Source organism: Homo sapiens, chromosome 6 (genome assembly GCF_000001405.40).
Source record: "Homo sapiens chromosome 6, GRCh38.p14 Primary Assembly".
NCBI lineage: Eukaryota > Metazoa > Chordata > Mammalia > Primates > Hominidae > Homo > Homo sapiens.
In genome coordinates, this window is record NC_000006.12 from 66,954,550 (window position 1) to 66,967,444 (window position 12,895).

Consider the following 12,895-nt stretch of genomic DNA (forward strand, 5'->3'; position numbering starts at 1 on the left):
TGTGGAGCTGGAGAGCCCAGATAATGTGAAATGAAGAGGATCTGGGAGAGAGACACATTACAGTTTGAGTAATAAGTAAGAACACGTGTTAGTGGCATATTAGAGCAGGAGGCAAGGAAAGGTCTAAGATGCTGGTGGTGGGCCAAATCCAGTGCCTAGGTTACAAGGTATGTCTACCACATGTTTTTAAAGTCATGTCTGGCCCAGGTAAAAGAATAAGGAATCCGAAAAACAGAATCATGCAATTAAATGTTTATAAGATTTATTATCCATTTTATTTATTTTTTGCATTTCATTCTTTCATGTATTTATTAAACATATTTTCAAGTGCTTTAACTTAGGACGCCAACATGTTACACAATGCCTGCTTTTATAAACTAACCTAAAATAAATAAATAGATCAGAATATGGTAAACATATTACTGAAGTAATGATATGTGTTGTTAAGTGAATAAAAAAGGAACCTATGATATAGTCACATCCAATGGTAGACATATGGGAAGATTTTTCTGCAGGAAATGCTGCTTATGTGAGTCTTGTAGAACAAGTAAAATTTCCCAAAGATAGATGCTAGCAAGGATCAGAGGATATGTCAGAAATTGAAATATTCTGGGAAAAAATAACAGTATGTGTAAAGACAAGACAACCTGAATGAACATGATATAATAAAGGAATTTTAAGTACCATGAACTAAAAGTGTCATTTACAGCATTTTAAGATTTTATTTACTTATATCAAAATAGGTCAGACTGAATTTAATATATATAACCACATGAAGATGCAAAAGGAGGAGTAGGCAATAATGAAATGCAGAGGAAGGAATAGCATGAACAGAAATTGAGAAAATATAGTAGCAATTAGTGGCAATATTTTCTGACCAATGAAATGAGGAACAGTGAGGAAAAGAGAATATCCTCCAGAGGAAGGGCATCTACAGGGTGATTCCCAGATTTCAAGTATGAATGGCTAGACATTTGATACAGAAAATAGAACAGAAGGTAATATAGTGGGGTACTGTATTTGTCCATTCTCACTCTGCTATAAAGATACTACCCGAGACTGGGTAATTTATAAAGGTAAGAGGTTTAATTGACTCATAGTTCCTCATAGCTTGGGAATCCTCAGGAAATTTACAACCACGGTGGAGGTGAAGGGGAAGCAGGAGTCTTCTTCACAAGGCTGCAGAAGAAAGAGAGAGAGAGCAAAGTTGTAACTGCCAAACACTTTTAAAACCATTAGCTCTCAAGAGAACTCACTCACTACCATGAGAACAGCATAGGGGAAACTGCCCCATGATCCAATCACCGCCCGTCAGGCCCCTCCACTGACACATGAGGATTACAATTTGATATGAAATTTGGGTGAGGATACAGAATGAAACCATATCAGGTACTAAAAGGAATTTGAGAGTTGAATGTTAATTTACAGCCACAGATATGTGTGTGTGTGTGTGTGTGTGTGTATACGTATATATGTTTATATATATGTTTGAGCTTATATATGTGTGTATCATATATAGACATGTTTCAGTCATATATATGACATCTAACTGAAAATTTCCTGACACAAGTGCTCAAGAGAACAACTTCGTGTCATTAGCATGTTTGTGATATTTGAAAATGATAATACAAATTTGAAGATTTATGGGAAGTGAAAGTATGGGGGTCTAGGAGACCATCTCTAAAGATGAAAACTGAAATGGCAAAAATATTATGAGAATTCCAGAAAAAAATACCTCTGAAAAGAAAGAGAAGTGAAACTAAAGTTTAGTGAGCAAAGAGATTGGAGGAAAACTAAGCATTTTGTCTTAGAACCCAAGAGAAGCTAGTTTCAAACTGTAGGAAGTGCAGAATCATCTCATAGAAAGAAATATAAAATAAGTTAACATTTAGCATGTGTTTCTCGGATTTATCCTCACTGCATTCATTAGTAATCTCGAGGAATATAGTGTTTATGACAGGTCATTATCAGAAATGAAGACATAAAGTGTGAATAAAAAGTTAGAAAGTGCACAGTGCAACTATAATCTACCTTTTTCCACTAATTTGGCTTGGAAATTAAAGAGAGGCAGGAATGCAGACATTTTAAATATACCGAGAAAATTCTGTTTTCTAAAATGAAGATAACTAAATTTATTACCTAATGTCTACTGAAATGTTGACTGAGGATAAAAATGATATAAGACAACCTAGGCTGTTTTTTTAATGCAATTTATACATCAATTAAGTGTGTTGGTGAACTTAAAAAAAATACACAAAAGTTTATGTTGGTAGGGTGAGGCCAGTTAATGAAAAGCCAATAAGAAATCAGACCTGACCAAATTTATTCAGTCTTTGAAAAGTGTAAGGAAAGATGTCACTCATATCTATCAAGACAGAAGGGTATATTTTCCCTTTGGGCAAATGTTCAAAAAAGATAACTATAATTTTCAAAGTCTTATTCCATTATTTTAAATATCATTTCCCAACAATTTACATGTATTCAGTCTAATTGCATTAACAGAAAAATTAAATATCAGAAGCTCAGCAGCTATATTATAGTAGCTTTTGGTTTGTCCAATAGCCAGTTATAAATTTCTTCAAATTTCCTTACCATGTGGAAGTTAGCCTCTATTTTGTTTTAGCAGACTATGACCAAAAAAAAGAAAAAATAATAATCTAATCATTGTCTCTTAGTTTCACATAGGAGACATCTTATGTATCAGAAGGTAAATTCTGTGCTTTAAATTCAATTTTTGTTTTCTTGAAAGGATGCAAATGTTTAAAAATTTTTAAATATGAACTAAAACACTTGTAAGTTAAAATTATTATGTGCTTTGTTATAACTTTATCAATATGTAAATTATTTTATACATAAAAACTACTGATAATCCAATAGGAAACATATAATTAAGTAAAGTCTAAAAGCTTTTTAATATGAGGGATAAGGAGGATACTGGATACTTAAGACATTTTAGTAACAGTTGTATAAATAATTTCTCAAAAATAAAAGTCGTATAGTTAGCATTTAGATTACTTTTTTTTCCTGACTTGACTGGTTTAATTTTACCATGATTCCTACATACTGGTGTCCACAGTACTTTGAATATTATATGATGAATAATTGGGGAATATTTTATGTCAGAAAGATGATTTTTCAACAAAGAATACAGACATATCTGTAAGTTTTTCATATGTCATTGGTAGAATAATTTTTAAATAATGCATTTTGAAAAAAAAATTTGTTGCCATTGTATACCTAGATATAACATGTGCTTACATTGATTCTCTGGCCATGAATGTTAAACATCTTTGTATAGGTCTTCACACACATTACTGGTGGTTTTTAAAATTTTAACTGTCATTACACCCACCCCAAATCCTTGGAGGTTAAATTCATATTTTTCTTTAGTCAGTCTCAGTCCCAGCCCTGGTTGGCATTGCTTGGTGTTTATATTTGTATATTGTAACCATAACCCAGTTCTAACCTTAAAAGTTTCTGTTTTCGTCTTTGCTCTGTGAAAATGCCTTTCTTGCCCCTTTTTCTCTTATGGCCCTGATTCTAACCCAGGAAATTAGATGGTTAAATATAAAACCACACCCTAATTTGCAATGTTGCACAAGGTAGTTTTATTTTTTGCATGTGATTTTTAACCTGTTGTTCTTTGTTTTCAAGAAAATTTGCATTAAAACTCTGCCCTTCATTCTAAAATGTCCATCTGTTCCTACTGTTTATTTCTAGACTTAAATAGTGAGTGACATCGTTATAATTTCTATGGCAACCAACTGCATTGACATTAAAAGATGATACAGCCTTCGGATAGTATAAAAACAGCAGAAGCTTGAGAACTCTTAAAAACAATGTCTTCTGTTCATGCAAATGTCTTTAATAAAGAAGGAAGGATTTGTTGTAACTCTCTGAAGACATGCACAATCTGAGGCTCCGAAAGTGTAAGTGTAAGAAAGAAGTATAAGTGTAAGAAAATCTTTTATGTACTGAATGTTCTTAACTTTTTTAATTTTGATATTTTCCCAAATTCTATATGAGTATTCCATTTTTCTAACCTTGGAAGTAAAAATTATGAGGGTATAAAATGGTGTTTAAAAATGACCTATTATTGGTTCCATATGAACTTTAAAGTAGTTTTTTCCAATTCTGTGAAGAAAGTCATTGGTAGCTTGATGGGGATGGCATTGAATCTATAAATTACCTTGGGCAGTATGGCCATTTTCACGATATTGATTCTTCCTACCCATGAGCATGGAAGGTTCTTCCATTTGTTTGTGTCCTCTTTTATTTCGTTTAGCAGTGGTTTGTAGTTCTCCTTAAAGAGGTCCTTCACTTCCCTTGTAAGTTGGATTCCTAGGTATTTTATTCTCTTTGAAGCGATTGTGAATGGGAGTTCACTCATGATTTGGCTCTCTGTTTGTCTGTTATTGGTGTATAAGAATGCTTGTGATTTTTGCACATTGATTTTGTATCCTGAGACTTTGCTGAAGTTGCTTATCAGCTTAAGGAGATTTTGGGCTGAGACGATGGGGTTTTCTAAATATACAATCATGTCATCTGCAAACAGGGACAATTTGACTTCTTCTTTTCCTAATTGAATACCCTTTATTTCTTTCTCCTGCCTGATGCCAAGACAATCCTAAACCAAAAGAACAAAGCTGGAGGCATCACGCTACCTGAGTTCAAACTATATTACAAGGCTACAGTAACCAAAACAGCATGGTACTGATACGAAAACAGACATATAGACCAATGGAACAGAACAGAGCCCTCAGAAATAATACCACATATCTACAACCATCTGATCTTTGACAAACCTGACAAAAACAAGAAATTGGGAAAGGATTCCTTATTTAATAAATGGTGGTGGGAAAACTGGCTAGCCATATGTAGAAAGCTGAAACTGGATCCCTTCCTTACACCTTATACAAAAATTAATTCGAGATGGATTAAAGACTTACATGTTAGACCTAGAACCATAAAAACCTTAGAAGAAAACCTAGGCAATACCATTCAGGACTTAGACATGGGCAAGGACATCATGTCTAAAACACCAAAAGCAATGAAAACAAAAGCCAAAATTGACAAATGGGATCTAATTAAACTAAAGAGCTTCTGCACGGCAAAAGAAACTACCATCAGAGTGAACAGGTAACCTACAGAATGGGAGAAAATTTTTGCAATCTACTCATCTGACAAAAGGCTAATATCCAGAATCTACAAAGAACTCAAATTTACAAGAAAAAAAAACAAACAACCCCATCAAAAAGTATGAACAAACACTTCTCAAAAGAAGACATTTATGCAGCCAGCAGACACATGAAAAAGTGCTCATCATCACTGGCCATCAGAGAAATGCAAATCAAAACCACAATGAGATACCATCTCACACCAGTTAGAATGCCGATCATTAAAAAGTCAGGAAACAATAGGTGCTGGAGAGGATGTGGGGAAATAGGAACACTTTTACACTGTTGGTAGGACTGTAAACTACTTCAACCATTTTAGAAGACAGTGTGGCAATTCCTCAAGGATCTAGAACTAGAAATAGCATGTGACCCAACCATCCCATTACTGGGTATCTACCCAAAGGATTATAAATCATGCTACTATAAAGACACATGCACATGTGTGTTTACTTCGACACTATTCACAATAGCAAAGACTTGGAACCAACCCAAATATCCATCAATGATAGACTGGATTAAGAAAATGTGGCATGTATACACCATGGAATACTATACAGCCATAAAAAATGATGAGTTCATGTCCTTTGTAGGGACATGATTGAAGCAGAAACCACCATTCTCAGCAAACTATCACAAGGACCAAAAAGCAAACACCGTGTGTTCTCACTTATAGGTGGGAATTGAACAATGAGAACACTTGGACACAGGAAGGGAAACATCACACACCAGGGCCTGTCGTGGGATGTGGTGGGGGGGAGGGATAGCATTAGGAGATACACTTAATGTAAATGATGAGTTAATGGGTGCAGTACACCAACATGGCAAATGTATACTTATGTAGCAAACCTGCACATTGTGCGCATGTATCCTAGAACTTAAAGTATAGTAATAAAATAATGACATTTTATAATTGTAATATAGAAGTTCATTGATTTACTCCAATATCCTTTATGTAATAAATCTAAGATCTTGTAGAAGTAGATCCTAATAATTGTGTCAGATGTAGGATTTTGTTAGAAAGAAGTGTCAGAAAATTTGCTGGGCATGGTGGCTCACGCCTGTAATCCCAGCACTTTGGGAGGCCATGGTGGGCACATCACGAGGTCAGGAGTTTGAGAACATCCTGGCCAACATGGTGAAACTCCATCTCTGCTAAGGATGTGGTGGTGCACACCTGAGACAAAGTCTCAGCTACTTTGGAGGCTGAGGAAGGAGAATCACTTGAACCTGGGAGGTGGTGGTTGCAGTGAGCCAAGATTGTGCCATTGCACTCCAGCCTGGGTGACAGGGAGAGACTCAGTCTCAAAAAAAAAAAAAAAAAGTATCAGAAACTCAATGGAACAAAAATAACATAAAACAGAGAGAGGAGAAATGGAGAAGAAGGTCATCTGAGATATTCTCTGTCAGTTCTGTGGTGAGCTTAGATTATAGTAAAGGGCATCGTGTGTGTGTGTGTGTGCATGCGTGTGGTGTGTAAGAGATAATACATTATGCAAAAATGATTGAAAATGTAAATAAGAACACTGGAATGTTTAAATGGAAGCTTTGATGCACTACACAGATCCCCTACCCAGGCACCTATTCCATAGCTACTGGGAGTGTTGGTAGATGACCACTCTCTAATGAGTAACTTTCCAGGAATTTCCTTAGGCAAAAAGAGTTGTCACATCTAATGTTAACTTGAACTCCACACCCAGCTTGCATTCTGTGGCAGGTTGGTGCAAGAATATATAGACCTAGCTACCTTTGGGCATGCTGAAATAAAAAAGAGACTGTACTTCAAAGGAATTGTAGAACTAGCCAATGTGTACCAACAGGAATCCAGAGAATATACATGGTGACTGGATTCTGAGGACCTGCATTATGACAGAACAGAAAAAAAAGTTATATAATGAAGATTTTATCAATATAAGCTTGCTTTCTTATGATACAGGTTTAACATTCTTGTAATTACCCCAAGAACCTGTCTCTGCACACTACTCGTGGTACTTAGAAACTTGGAAAAAGTAATGCCTAACACTAAGTGAGAGAAATAGCCTGGTAACAAATGGAGAGAAAGAACAAAAGATTCAGAGAACAGCGTGGGTATGCTAAGTAATATCTGAATACTCACAAACTTCCTACGCTCTCTCGATGCTGGATGGTGCTGTTTGCCTGAGGACATGTGTCTATCAAAACAATATACACTGTGCTAACGAGAGAGGTTGCAGGATCACAGAGAAGCTTATCAGAGATTCAACACGTTTTCTCAGTGACATGGAAGTTTGTGAAGGCCCTGCAGCAGATCTAAGACATTTAAATTATACTCATTCAAAAACAGATACTGGAATGCCAGTGAGTCCCGGAGGAGAAAAAGTAACTCACTATGGCACAGTAGATGAATATGCAGCCTGAGCAACCTGCCATAGGCTGGGTTCTATCAAAACCACCACATCTGCCGCCCAACAGCATTCCGTCTTATGACGGAAGTGGTATGCTCAGAATCGAAAATAAGAATGTCTTGAATTCACAAATAAGCTGCACAAACAAGTAGCATACAGACTGGTGTTATTATCTACTCTTGTAGTCAGCCAACCCATAGAGGGTGGCTGTGGCTTATGACCAGCTGACTGAGGAGGAAAAAGACTAACCTTAGTTAAGAGATGTTTTGGATCAGTGAGTACAAACTAAAATTGAGATTCTGCTGCACTACTGTCAATCTATGTGTCACCCTGAAAGACAATGTCAAGGGACAATGCTCCCAAGGGGCAGATCTTTGAATAATGCTCCTTATCAACTCAGAGACACAGCAGATACAAAGAGATCTGGAGAAAGAACATAAGGGTAAACTTCACAAACTGTGAGGATTCTTGAATTGTATGTTAGTTATGCACTTCTAAACAACTAAAGAAAACAGAATGATTCTACCAGCCAGTCGTTCCCATCAGTCTTCAGTGCCGGCATAATGGCTAATGGCTGCAGGAATGGAATAATCAAGGTAGCAGAGATGTAGGCTACACATGAAACCTACTGTTTGAGCCTCACTCACCGCTGGTTATCCAGCTTGTCAGCAAAAGGGACAAACACTTATCTATCAGAGGTTACTTCTTCCAAGGAACTCAATTAGCAACTTGGACCTCTTAAACCCTGGTATTCTAACTGCAATGTCTCATCTTTTAAGACTGTTGCATTGGGGATTAAGTTTAAACATTTGAATTTTTTGGGATGCATTAAGACAATAGCACCAGTGGATTTCATTGCCACGTAACTTCTTTCTTTGTTATCAATTGAATCTCTTGGTCTGATGAGATGTTACATGAGACAACTTGTCTGTAAATCAAGCACTTCACAAACACTGTGATAGTGCTGCTGACCTATCCTAGGATGGCCTGAGAGCAGAAAAAGCAACTCATGCCAGAAACATAGGTGCATTCCAATTAAGATTAGGCCATGAGTGCTCCATCCTCATGGATGGGACTTTTGAATTATAAAAGGGCTGAAGGGAACTAGGTAGGCCTCTTTTTTTCTTTCTGTCTCTTCTGCCATGAGAAGCCACAGCATTCACAGTGCCGTCTTGGAAGCAGACTGTGTCCACACTAGATGTCAAACTTGCTAGCTCCTTGATTTAGGACTTACTACTCTCCAGAATTGTGTGAATAAATTTCTGTTCTTCATAAATTACCCAGTCTCAGTTATTTTGTTAGAGAAGCACAAACTAAGAAAATTGGCCATATCAAATATTTGCCATCCAGAAGCTGCTGGCTTAATAAAGCAGTATCATGGCTTCTGAAAATGAAAATGGGCTGCCATTATCCAGAATTTGTTTTCCATCCTAAGTCAGTTGTTATTATCGGATGCTGTGTCCAATAGGTCAAAAACTTGTGTCTAGCCACTCAGTGGTGAAAGTAGGAGTGCCCCTGTCTACCATCACACTTAGCTACCTGCATAAGGATTTTGTACTTCCCATGTCAATGAGTTCACCGGAGGCTGTAACGATAACTCTAATAACATCAGGTTCTGGCTGCTTTTTGATCAGTGTAGGCTCCTTGTGCTAAAAAACCACGTAGCAAGAAAACACGTTATTCTCCTTTCTAGTGTTATTGATCACAATTATCAACAGCGTATTGGGCTGCTGTTAAAATTTGGAGATATGGAGGGAGATATGTGGCTCATCAGATGACCATTTATTGCATCTCTTGATATGCCTTGGTGCAAATTTTACAGTAAATGGACTATTGTGGTTGCTATGACCTGAATAGGTCATGGTATTTGGAGACATAGATAACTGAAAATGTTCTTGATCATGCCTCTACAGAGGTGCTAGCCTAGGTTAAGCAAAATCTTGAGTGAGAAGTAGTTGAGAGAGTCCATAAATGACAGTTGAGGCCTCTAGTTCAGTGTCAGTGATGAGGTACAGAGGTAAAAGATACAGTTCATCCAAGTATACTTCTTGATAGTTTTTTCCAGGGAAGAAGATCAAGGAGAATTTTACAGGTCTGTTTGAAAATTTTGTTTTGAAAAGATAATGGATGTGTGTTGAGCAAGGGTTGGGCTGAGTGGAATCTTTAGTAGGTCACCCAGATTCACCCTTTAGGACTGAAGCATTCATTCCTCCATGCTGACAGCTCACAGTTAACTCATTCTGCCAAAAATACTACCTCCATAGAGCTCGCAAGACATCCCCAGGGGCACTCTAATTCTAATGACTGGTTTATACCATGGTATAAAGAATGAGGTCACCTTTCTGCAGGCAGGATAACTCGAAAGGAACATCCTAGCTTCAGAGCTCTTCATCACATTGGCCAAGGCGTTTGCACAATTTCATTCCAGTTTAATTGCTTTCTCTGTGTAATCCTTCTTCCTTAACTCCCTTATAGAAGTTGATTTCAAGGACACTCTCCTATTACATTGAATAAACCTCCTACATGAAAATCTAGGCAGCCCAATCTAAGAAAAATGTCTATAAAGTTAAAGTTATTAGAGGAGTATGTCTTGATGTAATGTGTTTTATTTTACTGGAATCGAGTAAGCACAAATTTAGCTAACTCCAAGAGATGTATTGTAGAGGGGGATTCTTATATTGAATGCAGGTTTTAATTACATGACCTCTAAATAATCTTCAAGTTCTGAATTAACATTGCAGGTTGTGTGTGTGTGTGTGTGTGTGTGTGTGTGTGTGTGTTTTAATTACATGGCCTCTAAATGATCTTCAATTCTGAATTAACATTGCAGGTTATATGTATGTGCGTGTGTGTGTGTGTATATATATATACATATATATATATATATATACACACATGCATAACATAAATTTATCTCTTTTTCCATATGTGTTAAAGTAAAAATGACATCTTCCTACAGGCCAGGAATAGTCCCTCTTTTTCCCAACATTAAGTTTAAATCTACATAAATAAGGTTATAGAGTGGTGAAGCTGGATTAAATCTATAAATATACAATTGAAGAAAGAGAAAATTAAAATTAAAAATAAAGTTATATCTTAGCATCCTGAAAGGTAAAATATTGAAAAATAATCACATGCATTTTTAGAATAATAACTGATTAGCATTTTAGATGGATATTTACACTTTCTTTTCCTCTTTTCTCGTATTAGTTCTACTATCAGCACTTTTCTTTCCTAGAAGAGTCAGGCTTCTATAAATGTGGTTAACTGCATGACTAAGAAAATAAATTAAACTTTGAAATGGTAATTTAAATTTCAGTTGACTTAATAAGGAAACTAATGAAAGGAAGTGAATCAGGACTTCAGAACCATGTTGCCTGTTTGCTGACTCTGCTTTACTTGTCCTTTTCAACTAGATTTTTTTTTTCACATTGTGATAGACTTACGACTGAAGGAGATACAGTACATGCTTACTTATTGCAGTTCATTTTGCTTTCCTAGCATGTACAAAAATATTTGTTCTGTAAAAATCATTACCCTATAGTTAGAATCACTCAATACAAATAAAGCATATGTCTTTCTGATTTTCTTAAATACATGCATTAAAATTTATTATATTGTGTTAAAACATAATTACATTCTTTCTTGTTATTCTTTTAATTTTCTTGCTTATTTTTAAAACATTTACCACAAATTAAATACACACATGCATTATATATATGTATATATCACATTCATATATGTAATTATGATAAAGTTCTGAGGAAGCAAAAGGAAATCTCATGTTTTTCTCTTAAAATAACATTTTCTACCAATTTTAGAAAAAAAGATTTAATTGAGAAGATATCCATGCCAACATGTTTGTTGAACATATGTTTTTTTTTCCATGGAATTTCACATAGTGAGATTTAATAAAGATATAAGAAAAAAAATGCAACAGTAGTAAAGGTAGTATTGATTAAATATTTGTATATTTCTATAGTTTTTTTTCCTATGAAAAATAAATTTCATTTATATGGCAAAAGCAAAATATGAAAATTGACTGGTTTTGTTATGAACTCATATGTTTTCTTTATGGCTATACAAGTGAAGGAATAAAATTGCCTTGCAATAATGCAAGGGGCAAAGATGGAAGAGTAAAGAGAACCAGAGCAGTCAGTTTCCACTAACCCTTTAGTATAATTTTGAGGAACACATAAGTTAAACATTAAAGAACTAGAGAAACTGCTGCCTGACTACAAGGGCTGGAATGTGAAAACAAACCCATTAAGACCCCACCTGGGTTTTCTCAGACCCTAAAATCTGATTGAATAATAAAAGTGTTCTTACACATACACCTCATACAACGACCCACTTAAGATTAAGAAACTTTCCAAGACTGTAGAGAAAGCTTTCCAGACCCCAGGCCCTAGTTAAAGATGAGATATAGATTGAGTGAAACAATCCTGCTTGTACATGCATTCCCACATGTAGGCATAAAGCTTAAAACGTATATAAGCACTAGAAGAAAACTTGTAACTTTGAGTTGGTTTGGTGAATTTTCCTAACCTTCTCCCTGTGGCCAGTTGCAGAAATAAACTTTCTTCTTTGCCAGTCCATCTGCATCTTGTTATTGGACCACAAGACTAAGCAGCCAGACCACTTTCTGTCTGGGAACAAAAACACTCTTCCCAACAACAACAACAACAACAACAACAAAATACACATTCTTCTCAGGTGCACATGGAATAGTTTACAGAATAGGTCATGTACTAGGTCACAAATTAAGTGTCAATAGATTTTAAAAGATAGGTATTATACAAAATATCTTCTCTAGCTACAATGGGATAAAGTTAGAGATCAAAAACAAAAGAAAAGATGAAAACAATTACAAATTTGTTAAAATTAAATATCACACTCTTCAAAAATCAATGGATTTAAGAAAAAATTACAAAAGGAACTCGAAAATACTTAGAGATGAATAAAAATGAAAACACCATGCACCAAATATATAGAACATGGTAAAAACAGTGTTAAGGAGAAAATTTATATCTATATACATTTATATTAAGAAATAAGATCTCAAATCAACCATATTAATTTAAAATGAGAAACTGAAAAAATAATAACAAATTAAACCCAAAGCTAGCAGAAAGACAGAAATAATAAAAACTAGAGAAAGGAATAATAAATAGAGAACTTAATTAAAAAAGGGAAAATTAATGAAACCAAAAGACTTTTCTCTGAATAAAAAAACAAACAAATTTAGCTAGATGGACTAACAATAAAGAGAGAATACTCAAATTCTGAAAATCAGGAAAGTGTAGACATTATTACCAACTCTATAGAAATTAAAAA